The 18726-nt window shown below is 58.6% G+C and overlaps 2 protein-coding genes across 65 annotated transcripts in view, besides 2 other annotated features; one reads left to right on the top strand and one right to left on the bottom strand.

The window, feature by feature from the left end:
* SBF1 (SET binding factor 1) overlaps positions 1 to 16885 on the top strand; it is a 30036-nt gene extending 13151 nt beyond the window's left edge. For 2 of the 4 annotated variants that reach the window (NM_002972.4, NM_001410794.1), the window contains exons 21-41: positions 16 to 89; positions 167 to 362; positions 599 to 726; positions 1173 to 1351; positions 1477 to 1613; positions 1726 to 1933; positions 2219 to 2415; positions 2493 to 2630; positions 4774 to 4851; positions 5212 to 5393; positions 5490 to 5669; positions 6303 to 6404; positions 6476 to 6661; positions 6743 to 6869; positions 6941 to 7071; positions 7143 to 7373; positions 13235 to 13342; positions 13441 to 13652; positions 14276 to 14363; positions 14432 to 14563; positions 14645 to 16885. In NM_002972.4, the coding sequence (NP_002963.2) occupies positions 16 to 89; positions 167 to 362; positions 599 to 726; positions 1173 to 1351; positions 1477 to 1613; positions 1726 to 1933; positions 2219 to 2415; positions 2493 to 2630; positions 4774 to 4851; positions 5212 to 5393; positions 5490 to 5669; positions 6303 to 6404; positions 6476 to 6661; positions 6743 to 6869; positions 6941 to 7071; positions 7143 to 7373; positions 13235 to 13342; positions 13441 to 13652; positions 14276 to 14363; positions 14432 to 14563; positions 14645 to 14743 (3113 nt within the window). In that variant the 3' untranslated portion in view covers positions 14744 to 16885. The remainder of the gene's footprint in view (positions 1 to 15; positions 90 to 166; positions 363 to 598; positions 727 to 1172; positions 1352 to 1476; positions 1614 to 1725; positions 1934 to 2218; positions 2416 to 2492; positions 2631 to 4773; positions 4852 to 5211; positions 5394 to 5489; positions 5670 to 6302; positions 6405 to 6475; positions 6662 to 6742; positions 6870 to 6940; positions 7072 to 7142; positions 7374 to 13234; positions 13343 to 13440; positions 13653 to 14275; positions 14364 to 14431; positions 14564 to 14644) is intronic. The other 2 variants (NM_001410795.1, NM_001365819.1) reach the window with 1 other exon arrangement.
* Positions 16438 to 17284: an enhancer, noted in NCBI's record as "H3K4me1 hESC enhancer chr22:50883030-50883876 (GRCh37/hg19 assembly coordinates)". NCBI's record gives its function as "activates a minimal SCP1, AML or CMV promoter by ChIP-STARR-seq in primed H9 embryonic stem cells {active_cell/tissue: H9 hESC(primed)}" and the evidence as "EXISTENCE:reporter gene assay evidence [ECO:0000049][PMID:30033119]".
* The window catches only part of PPP6R2 (protein phosphatase 6 regulatory subunit 2), a 114317-nt gene continuing 112385 nt past the window's right edge, over positions 16795 to 18726 (bottom strand). For 59 of the 61 annotated variants that reach the window (XM_047441654.1, XM_047441645.1, XM_047441659.1 and 56 more), the window contains 2 exons: positions 17768 to 18019; positions 16795 to 17686 (listed from right to left, as the gene is read on the bottom strand). In XM_047441654.1, the coding sequence (XP_047297610.1) occupies positions 17638 to 17686; positions 17768 to 18019 (301 nt within the window). In that variant the 3' untranslated portion in view covers positions 16795 to 17637. Of the gene's footprint in view, positions 17687 to 17759; positions 18020 to 18726 lie in introns of those variants that run through there. The other 2 variants (NM_001242900.2, XM_047441640.1) reach the window with 2 other exon arrangements.
* Positions 17663 to 17832: an enhancer, noted in NCBI's record as "active region_19319". NCBI's record gives its function as "activates an Ori minimal core promoter by ATAC-STARR-seq in GM12878 lymphoblastoid cells {active_cell/tissue: GM12878}" and the evidence as "EXISTENCE:reporter gene assay evidence [ECO:0000049][PMID:35858748]".

Below are 18726 nucleotides of genomic sequence, written 5' to 3'. Positions count from 1 at the left end.
ACTGTCTTCCCCCAGACATTGTCCAGATGCACATCGAGACCCTGGAGGCCGTGCAGCGGGAGAGCCGGAGGCTGCCGCCCATCCAGAAGGTTTGCGGGGGCCGTTGGGGCTGCGGGGGCCCAAGGCCCGGGCTGCATCCTGAGCTCCTGCTCTTGTTTTCGAGCAGCCCAAGCTGCTGCGGCCGCGCCTGCTGCCGGGTGAGGAGTGTGTGCTGGACGGCCTGCGCGTCTACCTGCTGCCGGATGGGCGTGAGGAGGGCGCGGGGGGCAGTGCTGGGGGACCAGCATTGCTCCCAGCTGAGGGCGCCGTCTTCCTCACCACGTACCGGGTCATCTTCACGGGGATGCCCACGGACCCCCTGGGTGAGCCTGCAGACTCTCTGGCCCTGTCGCCCCCTCTCCCCCAGGTCTTTGGGATGGATGGGCTTTCCCTGCCTCCCTCTCCCTTTTCTCGGGGGTTCTGGGTGCCCGTGGGAAACGGGCCTTTGTCTGCTCCTTCCCCACCCACTTGGGATTCCCCATAACTGTGGTACCCTGAGATTCTGGGACCCCCCCCCCCTTACCTTCCTTGCTTCTGACTCTGCCTGGCCTGTCCTAAGTTGGGGAGCAGGTGGTGGTCCGCTCCTTCCCGGTGGCTGCGCTGACCAAGGAGAAGCGCATCAGCGTCCAGACCCCTGTGGACCAGCTCCTGCAGGACGGGCTCCAGCTGCGCTCCTGCACATTCCAGGTGGGGCGCGGTGCGCGGGTGGGGCTCTCATCCCCCGCCCTGGTCTTTCTCCTGCAAACCGGTCTTTCTTGTATGAACCATTTTTAGGCCAGTCTCCAGCAGTGGCCCTGTTGTTACGCTTGCATGTCTGGGGCCCTCACTGTGGCTCTTGAGTTGATGTCCACTGTTTGATGTGCGGTCTTTGGGTCCTTGTCCTTTCCTTGGGGCGCCGGCCCTCAAGTCCGTGTCTTGGGTGTGCCTTGCAAACCCAGGCCTCAGCTCACAGCCACTGAGATTTCGAGTTTACACAAGCGCTTGCCTTCGTGTGACACAGATACAGGCCTTTGCCTGGGGCCTGCTTCTCTCTCTGTCATGGCTGCGAGGGGAAGGGGAGCCTGGCAGTGTCAGAGTTGGGGGAGGGGCTGGGGGGCCACCCACACCCCTAAGGGCTGCTTTTACTGACACAGCTGCTGAAAATGGCCTTTGACGAGGAGGTGGGGTCTGACAGCGCCGAGCTCTTCCGTAAGCAGCTGCATAAGCTGCGGTACCCGCCGGACATCAGGGCCACCTTTGCGTTCACCTTGGGCTCTGCCCACACACCTGGCCGGCCACCGCGAGTCACCAAGGACAAGGGTCCTTCCCTCAGGTATGGATCTGGGTCCCAGGCAGGGCAGCTGGGCCTCAGCCGTGTTCCCGCTCCAACCCTCCTAGGCCCCTGTGCTCATCTTTGTCCCTCCTCCTCTCACCTTTGCTGACTCTCGTGGGCCTCAGAACCCTGTCCCGGAACCTGGTCAAGAACGCCAAGAAGACCATCGGGCGGCAGCATGTCACTCGCAAGAAGTACAACCCCCCCAGCTGGGAGCACCGGGGCCAGCCGCCCCCTGAGGACCAGGAGGACGAGATCTCAGGTGGAGGGGTGGGGGTGGAGTCCTGGGTGGTCTCTGGATGCTGACATTGGCCAGGGAGGATCAGGGCAGGCGGAGTGGCCCCGTGATGACCACGTGTGCCCGGCCTGTGCAGTGTCGGAGGAGCTGGAGCCCAGCACGCTGACCCCGTCCTCAGCCCTGAAGCCCTCCGACCGCATGACCATGAGCAGCCTGGTGGAAAGGGCTTGCTGTCGCGACTACCAGCGCCTCGGTCTGGGCACCCTGAGCAGCAGCCTGAGCCGGGCCAAGTCTGAGCCCTTCCGCATTTCTCCGGTCAACCGCATGTATGCCATCTGCCGCAGGTGAGGGCCGGCCAGGGCTGGCCCGGGTGGTGGACACGTGACTGGGTGTCTTCCCTGCCCGCTGTGGGCCTGGGCCACGGCTTCTGGTCATGTAAGGAATGTGGAGGGGGAGACTCCGGGCAGAGGGACGGGCCACAGGGCTGGGGGGTGGCTGGGGGGCCCCGTGGCTGAGCTGGAAGCGCCTCCTGCTGGGAGCCATGGGCTGGCTCCTCTTGCCCTGCTTGGGGCGTGAGCCTGGAGGCGGGTGGGGTCGCCAGCCACCTTCACGCCTCTGCCTCCTCTCAGCTACCCAGGGCTGCTGATCGTGCCCCAGAGTGTCCAGGACAACGCCCTGCAGCGCGTGTCCCGCTGCTACCGCCAGAACCGCTTCCCCGTGGTCTGCTGGCGCAGCGGGCGGTCCAAGGCGGTGCTGCTGCGCTCTGGAGGCCTGCATGGCAAAGGTGTCGTCGGCCTCTTCAAGGCCCAGAACGCACCTTCTCCAGGTACCTCCTGCGTCCTGCCCTGTGCCTGCCCTGCCCTATCTCACCCTCCCCTCCCTCAGCTCCGTGTCCTCCCCCAGGCCAGTCCCAGGCGGACTCGAGTAGCCTGGAGCAGGAGAAGTACCTGCAGGCTGTGGTCAGCTCCATGCCCCGCTACGCCGACGCGTCGGGACGCAACACGCTTAGCGGCTTCTCCTCAGCCCACATGGGCAGTCACGGTGAGGGTGCTTGTGGGCAGACGGTGGGGCAGGGGCACTTTGGGGGGCCGTGGTGGCATTTATGGTTTGGCAGGCAGGCCAGGGAGGAGCAGAAACGGCGCTGGTCATGGATGTTTGGGTGTGGGATGAGGAGCATGCCCTCCGGGTGCCGTGGGGCAGGGGCGGGAAGCCTGTCCAGACCAAGTGTGTGCCCAGACCAGGTGTGTGCCCTGACCTCCTGCCCGCCCTGACGTCCTGCCCGCTCTCCACCTCTGCGTCTGCTGCAGCTTCCTGTAGGGTCCTCCGGGTGCTGCCTCTACGCGGCTCTGTCTTACCATTTCCCACAGCCTGGAAACATCCCAGATGCTCCTCTGTCCTGTTCCCTCCCAGTGTCACTGTTTTTCCTCATCCCCCACACTCCACCCTCCCTGCATCCCCCAATCCAGACTGTCTTTGGAGCCTCTGGCCTGGCTCTGCCTGCAGCTTGGCCTCTGTCCTCGTGTGTCCTGGTTCCTTGGGCCTTGCCCGAGCTGGCCTTGCTGTCTCTGTCCCCACCGCCACGCACACTTCACAGGCGCCCTGCACACACTGAGCTAGACTGGCCCCAGGACGGGGTGGCAGATAGGCCCCACACTCACTCCTGTGTCCGGACCACCTGTTCTCTAGTTCAGAAGTGGTTTTGTTTTTCCAGATACCACATTATATACTTACATTTTACAATCGCCCTGTCTTGCTGCCTTCCCACCCCTGCCAGAAACCCTGAGTGGCATTTGCAGGTGGGGCCGCCCCTGCACCCCCCATGCCTGTGCTTCCCACAGAGTCCCTTTTGCGTCTCCGACCATCCCCAGTGCCAGTGGCTGCTGCCTCCCCGTGTCCCCCTCAGTGCCCAGCAATGCTCAGGGGCTCAAGCTTCACTCAGCTGTAGTCGTGGCTTCTAGTCCCAGCCCTGACCTTTTTTTTTTTTTTTTTTTGAGTCGGAGTCTTTCTCTGTCACCCACGCTGGAGTGCGGTGGTGCGATCTCGGCTCACTGCAAGCTCCACCTCCCAGGTTCACGCCATTCTCCTGCCTCAGCCTCCCGAGTAGCTGGGACTACAGGTGCCCGCCACCGCGCCCGGCTGATTTTTTTGTATTGTATTTTTAGTAGAGACAGGGTTTTACCGTGTTAGCCAGGATGATCTCGATCTCCTGACCTGGTGATCCGCCCGCCTCGGCCTCCCAAAGTGCTGGGATTACAGGCGTGAGCCACTGCGCCTGGCCAGCTCTGACCTTTTTACAAGGATACACTGGGCCCTGGTTGGCGTCCAAAGCAGGCTGGTGCTGCGTCCTCACTGTGAGCTGGGCGCCTGCAGTGTGGCAGCCGTCAGAGGACACAGGGCGTGTTGGGCTGGCATTGTGCTTGGCCTGTAGTGACCACTTGGTGGACGAGGGGACATTGCCTCTCTCAGTCCCACCCTCGGGCCTTGCAGAAGCAGGTGAGCCTGGGCAGGGCCAGGCGCCCAGAGACCCTCTGTGGACCCCAGGCATCTCCCAGCCCTTTGGGCTGCCAGTCCTCCCTGTGCCTTCAGGCCACGTCGTCTGGACCGTAAACCTCAGCCTGGGACTCAGATCTGCCTGTGTCCTGGACTGAGCTGCTCTCCGTCCTTTTGGACTGGGCTCAGGCTCTGAGCCCACCCTCTCCCCTCTTCGGGAAGCCTCCAGGTCGCCTCTTCTCCAGGCCACACCTCTTGGGCACCTCCTGTTGCTGTGCCCTGGACAGAGGCGTCTACATGCTCATGTGTGGAGCGTTCTGAGCTGTGCCCATCACAAGCCCTGGCCCCCTGAGTGGAGGACAAAGGGCCAGGATGTGGAGGGAGGGACTCAGAGACAGACTTGCTCTAAGCTGGTTTGAGTGGGAAGAAAGGAAGTGTTAGAGGAGAGCCCGGGATCCCCACCGCATAGCCCTTCTGCTGCCACGGAGTGCTCTGCGGCCTGCCCTGCCCTGGCAGAGAGGCCCACACCAGGATGGCTCTTCCCACTTTCCTGCGATCAGGGACTTGGGGCTGACCCCTGCTGTCTCCAGGCTCCCTGGGGGCTTGGTGGAACCCTCTGACCTGTAGGCACCCCCAAGCTGGGCACGCCCAGGCCTGGGGCTAGGCCTGAGCCTTCTCTCTGCTGTGCCCTCAGTTCCCAGCCCCAGAGCCAGGGTCACCACGCTGTCCAACCCCATGGCGGCCTCGGCCTCCAGACGGACCGCACCCCGAGGTACCGTACCGAGCCTGCGCAGGCCCGCCTCCCCTTACTTGGTGCTGGCGGCCTCTAGTGTGCACTGAGTTATTGCGGGCACTAATGTCTCCCTCCACACCTGACACTAACGACCCGTCTCCCGAGCCCCAGTCCTTACCTCCCTGACCCGTGAGTCCTGCCCTAGAAACTAACACTGGCTGCCACCCCACGTCTCAGAATCTGTGTGTTCCAGCCCTCCTCTCGCACGGCCCTGCTGGGGTCCTGCCAACCACCCCTGCCCTGGGAGCTCAGCCCCCTCCCTGGAGGCCGGGCCCAGCCAGCCCCAGGTAAGTGGTGCCCTGGCCCCCTTTGGGTGCTTACCTGGCATCTCCTTCACAGGTAAGTGGGGCAGTGTCCGGACCAGTGGACGCAGCAGTGGCCTTGGCACCGATGTGGGCTCCCGGCTAGCTGGCAGAGACGCGCTGGCCCCACCCCAGGCCAACGGGGGCCCTCCCGACCCGGGCTTCCTGCGTCCGCAGCGAGCAGCCCTCTATATCCTTGGGGACAAAGCCCAGCTCAAGGTGACTGGGGTGCGGGGGGTGGGGGGTGAGGGTGGGGGCTCGGCAGGGGGCTTGGGGCCTCATGTGTCTCACGGGACTTGTCCGGATTCTTTTCAGGGTGTGCGGTCAGACCCCCTGCAGCAGTGGGAGCTGGTGCCCATTGAGGTATTCGAGGCACGGCAGGTGAAGGCTAGCTTCAAGAAGCTGCTGAAAGCATGTGTCCCAGGCTGCCCCGCTGCTGAGCCCAGCCCAGCCTCCTTCCTGCGCTCACTGGAGGACTCAGAGTGGCTGATCCAGGTCTCTGCACTGCCCCGTCCCTCTGCCCGCCTTGGTGCTGGGCCCTCCCCTTGGGTAGAGCCAAGTGGACGGGTCTAGGTTTGCTTGTCTGACAGTGTGGAGCGCTGGAAGGAGGAGGTGACAGCCACTTCCCACCCAGGCTCTGGTGCCTAGAAGGCAGCTGGGAGGCTGGGCCTGGCTGGGGCCAGCTGACAGTGAGAGTGGCCAGGGCTTGGGCATGGGTATGTCGGAGCAGCCTGCTGGGCCCACGTGGGCTGATGACCACACGGGGGATGCAGTTTATGGTTCTGGGCCCCTGCTGCATTCTCTCGGGGGTGGGTACTGACAGGATGCTGGCTTGGTAAACACTGGAGGGCTTGAAGGTAGGGCCACCGGCATCTTGAGGGACAGGGACGTCCCTCAGTCCTAGAGGGCTTGGAAGGGGGTGGGCTGTGACCAGCAGGCTGGAGGCGGTGGTCGGCACACCCAGAGCGAGCTGTGTTTGTCCAGTGCTCTGCCCGCATACAGGGCTTGGGGGGCTGTGGACAGGGCCTGCCTCCCCGCTGCCTGTGGACATGCGGGTCTCTGGCCTGGTGAGTGGCCAGGCGGGAGGGCGGTGGGTCCCCGAGGTGCTGAGGCCGCCTGTCCCTGCAGATCCACAAGCTGCTGCAGGTGTCTGTGCTGGTGGTGGAGCTCCTGGATTCAGGCTCCTCCGTGCTGGTGGGCCTGGAGGATGGCTGGGACATCACCACCCAGGTGTGTGGCGCGTGGGGCTGGGGTGGGCCAGGCTCCCGGGCTCCTCGCTGACCTCCTGGCGGTGCTGGCAGGTGGTATCCTTGGTGCAGCTGCTCTCAGACCCCTTCTACCGCACGCTGGAGGGCTTTCGCCTGCTGGTGGAGAAGGAGTGGCTGTCCTTCGGCCATCGCTTCAGCCACCGTGGAGCTCACACCCTGGCCGGGCAGAGCAGCGGCTTCACACCCGTCTTCCTGCAGTTCCTGGACTGCGTACACCAGGTGGGCAGGCCGCTGTGTGGGTGGGCCGGGACTGTGCACCCTGACCGCTGAGCCCTGGCCCCTGACCCACATGGCGTGCAGGTCCACCTGCAGTTCCCCATGGAGTTTGAGTTCAGCCAGTTCTACCTCAAGTTCCTCGGCTACCACCATGTGTCCCGCCGTTTCCGGACCTTCCTGCTCGACTCTGACTATGAGCGCATTGAGCTGGGTATGTGGGGAGTCGGGGCTGGGGCAGCCACGGGTCAGGAGGGGCCCAGGCTCAGTGCTGCTTCTGTGCAGGGCTGCTGTATGAGGAGAAGGGGGAACGCAGGGGCCAGGTGCCGTGCAGGTCTGTGTGGGAGTATGTGGACCGGCTGAGCAAGAGGACGCCTGTGTTCCACAATTACATGTATGCGCCCGAGGACGCAGAGGTAAGCTGGGGCCTGGGTCGGGTAGGCGGCTCCTGCCCGACCCAGGTCCTCAACCACAGGCCCACCCTCAGGTCCTGCGGCCCTACAGCAACGTGTCCAACCTGAAGGTGTGGGACTTCTACACTGAGGAGACGCTGGCCGAGGGCCCTCCCTATGACTGGGAACTGGCCCAGGGGCCCCCTGAACCCCCAGAGGAAGAACGGTCTGATGGAGGCGCTCCCCAGAGCAGGCGCCGCGTGGTGTGGCCCTGTTACGACAGCTGCCCGCGGGCCCAGCCTGACGCCATCTCACGCCTGCTGGAGGTGCGTGTGATCCCAGAGCAGGGTCTGGCCTGGCACCCCCCTCCTCTCGCTCAGACACCAGGGTCGTGCGTGTGTGTGTACACTCGTACATGCACGTAAGTCCGGTTACCCCTGGGGGTTGGTGTGGCCCTGCCGTCTCCCCACCATGTGAACTGCCTACTGGCCTGGGGTGGCTGTGGCTCCCCAGGGCCCCGCACCACTCAGTGGGTGCTTCCAGACAGTGACAGGAGGGCCGTCATCAGAGACCCTCAGGTCTCAGTACACAGCCTCCACTCTGAGCACGTGTGTTTTCCCTGACCTGGCTTTGAGCAGCTCAGGCACCTGTTGAGGAGTCAGCCCTTAGAGACGACAGTGTTTTACTCCCTCTGCCAGACCGCCTGCCCCACCTAACGTGAGCAGCTCTGGGTTCTTGCCCTGAGAGCTTGGGGTTGACATTGAGGCCTCTCTTACCCCTCACTGTGCCATCCCTGGTGGGCCTGGACTGAACAAGGCAGAGATGCCTGGGAGGGAGAAAGGAGACTGCGATTGGGTGGTGGCTGGGTTGGTGTGTAAGGCCTGAGGCAGTGTCCTGCGCGTGGTGCTACCTTTTGGGGCCATCCCGGAGTCTCTGTGGGACTGAGCAGGCAGAGGAGTGTGGACCTTGGACCTAGGCCACGGGGGGACCTGCACTCAGCTCCCCACTGTTGGCTGTGTGGCCTTAGAGGTTATCTTTTTTTTTTTATTTTGAGATGGAGTCTCGCTCTGTCGCCCAGGCTGGAGTGTAGTGGCGCGATCTCCGCTCACTGCAAGCTCCGTCTCCCGGGTTCACACCATTCTCCTGCCTCAGCCTCTCGAGTAGCTGGGACTACAGGTGCCCACCACCACGCCCAGCTAATTTTTTGTATTTTTAGTGGAGACGGGGTTTTACCGTGTTAGCCAGGATGGTCTCGATCTCCTGACCTCGTGATCCACCTGCCTCGGCCTCCCAAAGTGCTGGGATTACAGGCGTGAGCCACCGTGCCTGGCCTAGTTATCTAAGCATCTTAGAGCTTCTGGTTCCTTGTGCAGAAAGTGGAAATGCTGATTCCTGCCTTACAGGGAAGTTGTGAGGCTTAAATGAGTCATTTATTTCAGTGACTTAGCATGGGGCACAGGGTTTGGGGGAGTACGGGAGTCATGGTTTGTGATGGAGGTGACCCACAAAGCACAGACAGCAGTCCCTTTTTCTCTCTAGCGATGCTCATTGTCTTAAAGTTGACGCGGTCTCATTGGTGCTAACAGAGTCACTCAGCTTTGTCATGACCAGTGTCAGCTTGCTCTGTTGTTTTCTTGTATTTTTTACTGGTCTGTGTGTTTATGTTTAAGGTGAGTTTCTTGTACACAGAATGTAGATGTAGTTGGGTCTTCTTGTTATCCAGTCTAATGGGTTTTTTTAATTGGAATTTTTAGCCCATTTTAATTTACTGTTACTATTGATGTGGCTGGGTTTAAGTCTGTCATCTTGCTCTTTGTTTTCTCTTTGTCCCTTTGATTTTTTTTCCTTTCTTTCTTTTCTTTTTTTAAAAAACAAGTGTTTTTAGTATTCTGTCTACTGTGAGTTGAGCTGTACATCTCTGTGTTGTGTTTCAGGGGTTGCTGGGGGCTATAATCATCTGACTTGAAATTACATCACCCTGTTGACACCAGAAGAGCCTTACGGCAGTGTGTGTCCATTCATGCCTTTCCTGTCCTGTTACTGTCACACATTTTATTTTTACGTATGACATAAACACCCAGTATGGTTTTTTTTTTTTTTTTTTTTTTTTTTTTGAGAGATGGAGTCTCCCTCAGTCACCCAGGCTGGAGAGCGGTGGTGCGATCTCGGTTCACTGCAACCTCTGCCTCTGAGTTCAGGTGATTCTCCTGTCTCAGCCTCCCAAGTAGCTGGGATTAGAGGCACCCACCATCATGCCCGGCTAAATTTTTTTTGTATTTTTAGTAGAGACGGGGTTTCACTGTGTTGGCCAGGCTAGTCTCAAACTCCTGACCTCAGGTGATCCGCCCGCCTTGGCCTTGCAAAGTGCTGGGATTACAGGCGTGAGCCACCGTGCCCGGCCCTGTTTTTGTTTTAAATAGTCAACTTTGTTTTAAGGAAATTAAGAAAGAAGGAAAAAGTCTTCTATTTTTGCCATTTATAACATTCTTCATTCTTTCAGTATAATCTGGTCTGGTTATTATTTCTCTTCAGCCTGAAGAATTTTTAATATTTCTTGTAATGCAGAGCTGCCAGTCACAAATCCCCTCAGCTTTTGTTTATCTGAAAACATCTTGGTGCCTTTATTTTGCAAAGGGCATTTTCTCTGGATATGCATTTCTAGGTTGACAGCTGCTTCTTTTTTTTTTTTTTTTTTTTAATTCAGCAGTTAAACTGATGTCACTTTAAAAGATCTCATTACTAGGCTGGGCGCAGCGGCTCACGCCTGTCATCCCAGCACTTTGGGAGGCTGAGGCAGGTGGATAACCTGAGGTCAGGAGTTCGAGACCAGCCTGGCAAATATGGTGAAACCCCGTCTCTACTAAAATATAAAAATGAGCTGAGCATGGTGGCGGGTGCCTGTAATCCCAGCTACTCAGGAGGCTGAGGCAGGAGAATCGCTTCAACCCGGGAGGTGGAGGCTGCACTGAGCTGAGATCGCGCCACTGCACTGCAGCCTGGGCGACATGAGTGAGACTCTGCCTCAAAAAAAAAAAAAAAAAAGATATTACTTTGTTTTCTGGCCTGTATTGTTTCTGCTTAGAAGTTGGTGTTGATTCTTATCCTTATAAACTGTGTATAATGGCACCCTTTGATTCTCTGCCTTAAGATTTTGCATTTAATTTTGGCTTCAGCAATTTGACCATTGTGGTTTTTGCTTTCGTCCTGCTTGGGGCTCTTTAAACTTCTGGGTCTGTGGGATGATCATTTTTGTCAAATTTAATACATTTCAAGCCATTGCTTCTATAAATTACTTTTTCTGCATGATCTCTCCCTTTCCTTCTGGAACTTTATTGTCCCATACGTTGCTGAAGCTCTGTTTGTTTTTTCTCAGTCTTTATCTTTGCAATTCATTTTGGATGATTTCTGTTGGCTTGTCTTCAAGTTCACTACTCTTTTCTTTCTTGTTTTTAATATACTGAAGCCCATCAAATGAATTTTTTTTTAATTTCTTGAGACAGGGTCTTGCTCTGTTGCCCAGGCTGGAGTGCAGTGGCACAGTCATGGCTCACTGCAGCCCGAACCTCCCAGGCTCAAACAATCATCCTGCTTCATTCAGCCTCTTGAGTTGCCAAGACTACTGGCGTGGGCCACGTGCCGGCTACTTTTTTTTTTTTTTTTTTTTTTTTTTTGTAGAGATGGGGTCTCCCTATGTCACCCAGGCAGGTCTCAAACTCCTGGGCTCAAGCAGTCCTCTCACCTTGGCCTCCTAAAGTGCTGGGATTACAGGCATGAGCCACCACACCCGGCCCCATCTAATGAATTTAACGCTTTTTATTGTAGAGATTCCCCATCTGATAAACCATTATGTCCATCTTTTCTTTTAAATCTTGAAACATAACTTAAAAATATATATAAAGATGGGGTCTTGCCATGTTGCCCAAGCTGTTCTCACACTCCTTGGGTCAAGCGATTCTCCCTCCTCGGCCTCCCGAAGTGCTGGGCTTACAGGCGGGAGCCACTGTGCCCTGCCTGTGTTGTCTTTCTTTAAGCTTAGAGTCTTGGGTTTTATTCTCGCAGGTAGGTAATGAGCTTGTGCGTCAGCTTGGTCTGTTTGAAGCTTGTTTCTAAGCTTTGTTTGGGCAGCTCTCCAGCACCTCTAGAGAAGCTCCAGGGATAGAGCAGCCCAAGGCGTGTGGCCTCTCCAGGGCTTCAGTTGGAGTTTTGTGTCTTTGTGTCTTCGGTAAGGTCTTGCCACACTGGCTTTTTGGAAGTCCAGTATCTTTTAGCATTCCTCTAGAATTTGGGTTCAGCTCATAGTTTTGTTTTTTTTTTTTTGAGGCAGAGTCTCACTTTGTCTCCCAGGCTGGAGTGCAGTGGCGCACTCTCGGCTCACTGCAGCCTCCACTTCCCATGTTCAAGCAATTCTCCTGCCTCAGCCTCCCGAGTAGCTGGGATTACAGGTGCCCGCCACCATGCCCAGCTAATTTTTGTATTTTTAGTAGAGACAGGGTTTTGCCATGTTTACCAGGCTGGTCTTGAACTCCTGACCTCAGGTTATCCACCCGCATTGGCCTCCCAAAGTGCTGGGATTACAGGTGTGAGCCACTGCTGCCGGCGTCAGGTCATAGCTTCTTAGTAGCTGTTCTCTGCCAGGCCTTGTGACATCTTGCTTTGCACATGGCAGCCTAATTTGGCCAACGACTCAAGGAGGGCTCTGTCTAGATTTCTAGAGCCCCTTTGCTGTGGTGCTCCCTCCCCTCTGTGGGCTGCCCTGCAGACCCAGCTGCACTAGCGCCCCTGGACGTCCCGTCTCTGCCTCCTCGGCTCAGCAAGCTCCCGTGTGTTGCTCTGGCCCTGCCTCCCTGCACTGTGGCTGGGCAGAAAACAGGTGACTGTGGGGCCCATCTTATGTGGTCCCATGTCTTAGGCTCCTGTCTCTCAAGCTGCACTGCTTGTCTGACATCTGGAAACAACGGCTTCCCCTTCTTGTCCAGTTTCATCATTTGCATATGGAGGGAGGGCTGTTCAGACTAATTATCTGTCATGGCTGGAAGTTGACAGTTGGCCTCGTGTTTCTCTTTTGAAGTCAGCCGTCAGTTTTATTGTTGCTCTTTCAAAGAGAGCATGTCTTTTTTTCTTCTGGCAGGTTTTGGGACTTTTCTCTTTGTTTTTCAGCAGTTTTTCTGTCCCATTTTGGGGTGTGTGTGTGTGTGTGTGTGTGTGTGTGTGTTTGTGTGTTTTGAGACAGAATCTCACTTTGCCGCCCAGGCTGGAGGGCAGTGGTGTGATCTCGGCTCACTGCAACTTCCGCCCCCTGAGTTTAAGTGATTCTCCTGCCTCAGCTTCCTGAGTAGTTGGGATTACTGGTGCCTGCCACTGCGTCCGGCTAATTTTTGTATTTTTAGTAGAGTTGGGGTTTCACCATCTTGGCCAGGCTGGTCTTGAACTCCTGACCTCGTGATCCACCCGCCTCGGCCACCCAAAGTGCTGGGATTACAGGCGTGAGCCACCGCGCCTGGCCCTAAAATCACTCTCTTGAATTTACTGTATGTTCTAACTCCTGTTTCATTTCAGGGTCTATTTTAATGTTTTTCTCCATTTTTCTGCTGTTCTTTTATTGTAAGCTGGACATTGTGGACCCTGCAGTGTTGAAGATCAGTATTGTGTGGTCTTTTTTTTTTTTGAGAAGCAGTTTTGCTCTTGTTGCCCATGCTGGTGTGCAGTGGCGCGTTCTCGGCTCACCGCAACCTCCGCCTCCCAGGTTCAAGCGATTCTCCTACAGGCGTGCGCCACCATGCTGGGCTAACTTTTTGTATTTTTAGTAGAGATGCGGTTTCTCCATGTTTGTCAGGCTGGTCTCAAACTCCTGACCTCAGGTGATCGGCCTCCCAAAGTGCTGGGATTACAGGCGTGAGCCACCACGCCTGGCCGGGGTGTGTGTTTTTAACTTACCCTGTTGGGGTCTGTAGTGCTTCTTGATTATGTTGTTTGATGCCTCTGGTTAGTTTGGGAAATTTTTCAACTGTTGTCTCCGAATATTCATTTTGCATATTCCTTCCCTCCCTCTTGCCACCTCCCCCTGTGGCCAGTCACACACGCGTTAGGCCTTTCCGTTGTGTCTCTTTCCTGTGTTTTCCTTTTGTCTTTTCGTGCTCTAGTCTGGATATTTCCTTTTGAATAAACTTGCCATTAATTCTTCCCCCAGGAGCTGCAGAGGCTGGAGACAGAGTTGGGCCAACCCGCTGAGCGCTGGAAGGACACCTGGGACCGGGTGAAGGCTGCACAGCGCCTCGAGGGCCGGCCAGACGGCCGTGTGAGTGAGGGCCAGTGTGAGCGTCCACGGTGGGCGTGTTGCTGGGAGAAAGTGGAGTCTGTCCAGCCCTGACCCAAGTCCCAACCTCCTGTTCCCAGGGCACCCCTAGCTCCCTCCTTGTGTCCACCGCACCCCACCACCGTCGCTCGCTGGGTGTGTACCTGCAGGAGGGGCCCGTGGGCTCCACCCTGAGCCTCAGCCTGGACAGCGACCAGAGTAGTGGCTCAACCACATCCGGCTCCCGTCAGGCTGCCCGCCGCAGCACCAGCACCCTGTACAGCCAGTTCCAGACAGCAGAGAGTGAGAACAGGTATGAGGGCACCTCCCACTGCCACATGGACACCTCTGAGCTGGTGTTCTGGGGTCCCAGGCAGTCCTCTGGTGGGAGATTGCGGGTGCTTTTGAGGAGCTTGCTTAAGTATACACCACCACTGGGAGGGGTTTGGGGTGTCGAACTGGTGACCACAGCTGACCACAGCCTGCAGTGGCTGAGGGAGGAGTAGAGAGAGGGCAGTGGTGGGGCCCCCGTGAGTCTGGAGTCTGGCAGGATCCATCCCAGGCAGCTGCTGCCGTGGCTGCTTCTACAGATCTACCTGCCTGGCCATCCCTCTCCTCGTAAGGGCGCCTGCCCTGTGTAGGGGGCTGCTTTCCCAAGACCCTGAGGCTCTGGTGTGGGGATGCTCCCTGGAGTCTGGAGGGTGTGAGGCGCCCTTCACTGTCTCCTTTCTGGGCGTCGTCTTCTTGGGCCTGCAGCCCCCCATCAAAGGCTTCTTTGTGGCCCCCTGGCCAGTGCTCTGGGCTTAGGTCAGTTCTGGGGACAGGGTGCCTGGTCTTACCTCCTGGGCTGGGACAGCAAGGGGGGGACGACTGCTGGGGCCTGGGCTTGGCTGGGCCATGACGGTCAGCCTGGCCCTGGTTCTGCTGGAAATGCAGGTCCTACGAGGGCACTCTGTACAAGAAGGGGGCCTTCATGAAGCCTTGGAAGGCCCGCTGGTTCGTGCTGGACAAGACCAAGCACCAGGTGAGTGATCAGGTGGTGGGGGGGACTCACGGGGGAGGGGGCTCCGCTGACTCTGTGGCCTCCTCCAGCTGCGCTACTACGACCACCGTGTGGACACAGAGTGCAAGGGTGTCATCGACTTGGCGGAGGTGGAGGCTGTGGCACCTGGCACGCCCACTATGGGTGCCCCTAAGACTGTGGACGAGAAGGCCTTCTTTGACGTGAGCCTTGGCCGGGGCTTGGGAGAGGGGAGGGGCTCTGCGGTGTGGGGGCTGCGGAGTCAGTAACCCGCCCTTCCCCAGGTGAAGACAACGCGTCGCGTTTACAACTTCTGTGCCCAGGACGTGCCCTCGGCCCAGCAGTGGGTGGACCGGATCCAGAGCTGCCTGTCGGACGCCTGAGCCTCCCAGCCCTGCCCGGCTGCTCTGCTTCCGGTCGTTACCGACCACTAGGGGTGGGCAGGGCCGCCCCGGCCATGTTTACAGCCCCGGCCCTCGACAGTATTGAGGCCCCGAGCCCCCAGCACTTGTGTGTACAGCCCCCGTCCCCGCCCCGCCCCGCCCGGCCGGCCCTAACTTATTTTGGCGTCACAGCTGAGCACCGTGCCGGGAGGTGGCCAAGGTACAGCCCGCAATGGGCCTGTAAATAGTCCGGCCCCGTCAGCGTGTGCTGGTCCAGCCAGCGGCTGCAGGCGAGTTTCTAGAACCAGAGTCTATATAAAGAGAGAACTAACGCCACGCTCCTGTGCCTGCCTTCCCCACTCCCCGGCTGCCTGCTCTCGGCCTACCCAGAGGGTCCCATCTGCCCCTATCCAGGCCCACCTGGCGGGAGGTTGGCATCTTTCTCGTGAGCCTCTCCTGGTGCCTGGGTCCACCCAGCTCGGCCTGCATGTCCCTGGGAGTGACTTTGCTCTGGGGGCGGATCGAGCAGGAGGCTTCACTGGGGACTTGCTTGATTCCCTCCACGCCTCAGGGCTGGTCTAGGGGCCGGCACGGCTGGAGAGGAAGCCCCCATCCCTACCCAGGGGATGCAGAAGCTGACCTCACAGAGGCTTGGGGGTGAAAGGGTGGGTGGTCATTTGACCCCAGAAGGCTGTTGCAGGTCCAGAGGACACTTGAGGTGGACGTCAGTTTCTGGCTAGACCCGAGCTGAAGGGATGGAGGCCGGAGGCGGGGGGGGGGGGGGGACAGTGGGCTCCCAGGGGAATGCAGGTTGACCACATCTGGCTCCTGCCAGGCAACGAGCAGCATCTGGCAGAGTAAGGGGCCAACGCCCATGGGGGATGGACCCTCTCAGTTCTTGGGAATTCTGCCCCAAAAGTCCTTTCCCTGGGGTCTCAGAGGGCCCCCGTCCTTCCCTTCTTGGTGTCACTGTGGCCCCTCACTGCTCTTTTCCTATTCAAACCTGAGTCCCACCAGGCCCAGGGCTTCACCTGCTGAGCTGTTGTGTCCTTGCCTGTGACGAGGCCTGGCCAGGGGTGCAGGAGCAGAAGGTGGGGAGGGTTATAGACGCTGCAAAGGCCAAGAGAACATCTGAGAGTGGCAGCTGGTGACCTGGCCAGAGGGGCTGGTGAGGGGCAGAGAACCTGGCTAGAGGCTGGGTCCCTCAGGTGGTCCTCTCAGGTGGGAGGCGAGCAGCAGGTGTGGGTGAGGGGAAGGTTCTGATGACAGCTGCAGAGGCAGGGCCCAGTGCTGGCAGGTGGGGGGCCAAGACCCTCCCCTGGTGGGACGTTGAAGCCAAGGATGGCCTTGGACCCTGTCAGGCCCAGCATGGTCCCGCCACCTCCCCCACCCCACAGGTGGTGTTGGGACACCTGGGCGAGATGTGAGGGTGGGCTCACTTGAGCCACTGAAACCAGCCAGGTCTTCCCTCAGGCCGGACAGATGGCGCCTGACCGAAGTTCCTGGCACCTGGAAAACCCACAGGTCAGAGTAAGGGGAGAAAGGACCCTGCCCTCCCTGTTCCACGTCTGTGGGGGGAGAGGACAAATGCCAGGCACAGGGTAGGCGGCGAGAACAAGGCACTCAATGTGTAGCTGGGGCAGAGACTCGGCCTCTGGGGAGCTGAGCGGGTTCCCTCCACCCCCAACCGTGGTGGAAAGACAAGCTCGCTGGGGCGGGGTGGGGGTCTGGTCTCCACCTGCCCCTCCCACTCAGCCACTGAGGACAAGGTGGGGCCCAGGCTTCTGGGAGGGGGAGCTGGCACAAAAGGAAGTCCTGGGGTTGATGTGTTTGAGCGTTAGGCGAAGTGGTTCCCCCCATCCCCCAAACGGAAAAATGTCAGTATTTGCTAAGCTGTAGAGACCTGATGCCGTGATGTGGCCTGTTCCGCCTCCACCCATTACACGGGGATAACGCTGGGGGGTGGCGGGCCCACAAAAGAGGTGCTGGAGGAGACTCTCCCACCCCTGGCCGGGCCGGGGCTTTGGGGCCGGAAGGTTCACAGTACGCGGTTTGTCCGAACGTCACGGCTTTTATTGGGAGTTGGGGGTTTGGGGTGCCCTGTCAGGTGATCAGAACATTAAAAATGGACTCAACGTAAAATAATCTTCTGGACCCTTCTAGGACGACATGGCCGTGACCGGTAGTGCTAGAAACCAGTCTTCGAGCCCCTAGTGCCACACCATGTCCCCCCACCTGCATACCTGTGGTCTCCCCCTGCCAGGCACCCTGTGCTGGGCACAGGGACATCCCTGCCAGGCCTAGAGGGCCTTGTGTTTTTAAGGCAGTCAAATCTTGCAGCCTGGTTCAGTGCCAGCTCCAAGGGCTATTGGGTAGCTGCAAGGGTCAATTATGCATTCCTGTGAGTCAGGTTTTTCCAACCCAGGCCCTTGACTCTGCCCTGAGCTTGCAGCTGGATACAAAGTGCAAAAAAGCTTGGCTCCTTCTGTATTCTTTAAAAACAAAACAACAACAAAAAAAAAACTGTAAAAACAGCCTCCATGTCCACGCCCTTCCTGGCCCATCAGGTCCTGGTGGCATCTCAGGGTCCTGCCCCCCCCACCCCCACCCCCACCCCGGCTCCTGCAGGCCGACCTTATTGCTGTGCTCTGGGCTTGGGGGCGGCTGAGGTGCCCCTCTGTCCTCCAGCAGGGCACGAGTGACCTGAGAGGCCCACTCAGGCAGAAGAGACGCAAGCTGGGCCGTCCAACTGGTTTCAACTGCCAGCTTTACCAATGCAGCATTTATTTTAAAATTAAATTAAATTAAAAAAAAAAAAGATTGCATCACCAGGTAGTTTTCTCGATTAAGGAGGCAGCCTGACCAGGGTGGGCCGTGGCCGGGCGGCAGCAGCATCACACTGGGCCATTTAAGGCAGCTCCTTCTGGCGGGGCATCTGTCTTCCTGCAGGAATGGGGTGGGGTTGGAACCGTGCGGGCTGCGGGCCCTGTCCACACCCCCTACCCCCACACTCAACCTGCTCACCCGTCCTTTGTCACTGTCCCCAGGGTGGCCACCATGGCTGGGGCTGCTGTGACTGCCATGATGGGCCCTAGGGGGACCGCCACGGCCAGTGCAGAAGAGACTGCTGGGGTGGGTATGGCGGGGCCAGCCTTGCTCAGTGCTGTGGTGATGGCCACAGTAGCCTCGGGGGGCACAGCCACGGCTGGGGCAGCAGTCACTTCCTTTGGCGCGGGGCAGGCAGGGCTTAACAGCCGGCTGTCAGCACACCCGACCCTGTGTGGCAAACATGGACTCCGGTTACGGGCACCCCCACCCTCAGTGCCACCCCGCCTCATGCCCAAGGACCAGCTGGACAAAAAGGTCCAGGCGGCCTGGGAGCACCATCTTTGGCCCCTCTCACTCCTGCCCTTTGTGGGGTGGCCCAGGTTGTGCCCAGCTAGGCAGCTCTGCTGCCCCAAGTTCCAAGTACTGGGACAAGCTGCCTGTCCATTGATGACCTCAAACCTCCTCCAGGCAGCACTCAGATCCTGCTCATCATCAAGCGCCTCATTCTTCAAGGACCCCAGAGCCTCCTGTGCTATGATCTCAACTTCAGCCTCACACTGGACACAGTCTGGGGAAACCTCCCAGGGGATGGGAGGGTAGAGAGGACCCTGCCGGGCATCTAAGGGGCTTGCTCTGGAGGGGGTCGGGCACCCCAAGGCCCAGCCTGGCCACGAGCAGCAGACGGGCCCCCTGGCTTCCTGCAGGGCGACGACACTGTGTCTGACTGAGGGAGGGGCACTCAGGTCAGGCGGGGGCGCGAGGAAGCTCACCTGCAGGCTGGGCCGTGACGACGGTGCAGGCAGGGCTCTAAGTGGCAAGTTTTACGCAGACAGCCCCGTGGAAAAAAACAACTTACTTTGCACAATGATATTCCCTGCTTTTCAGAGCAGTTTTTTAGGGGTTGTTTAGGAGAAGTGGGTAAAGGTTTGTTTTGG

Source organism: Homo sapiens, chromosome 22 (assembly GCF_000001405.40).
Source record: "Homo sapiens chromosome 22, GRCh38.p14 Primary Assembly".
Lineage (NCBI taxonomy): Eukaryota > Metazoa > Chordata > Mammalia > Primates > Hominidae > Homo > Homo sapiens.
The sequence above is the reverse complement of the archived record's forward strand: the minus strand, read 5'-3'. Positions and strand labels throughout refer to the sequence as shown.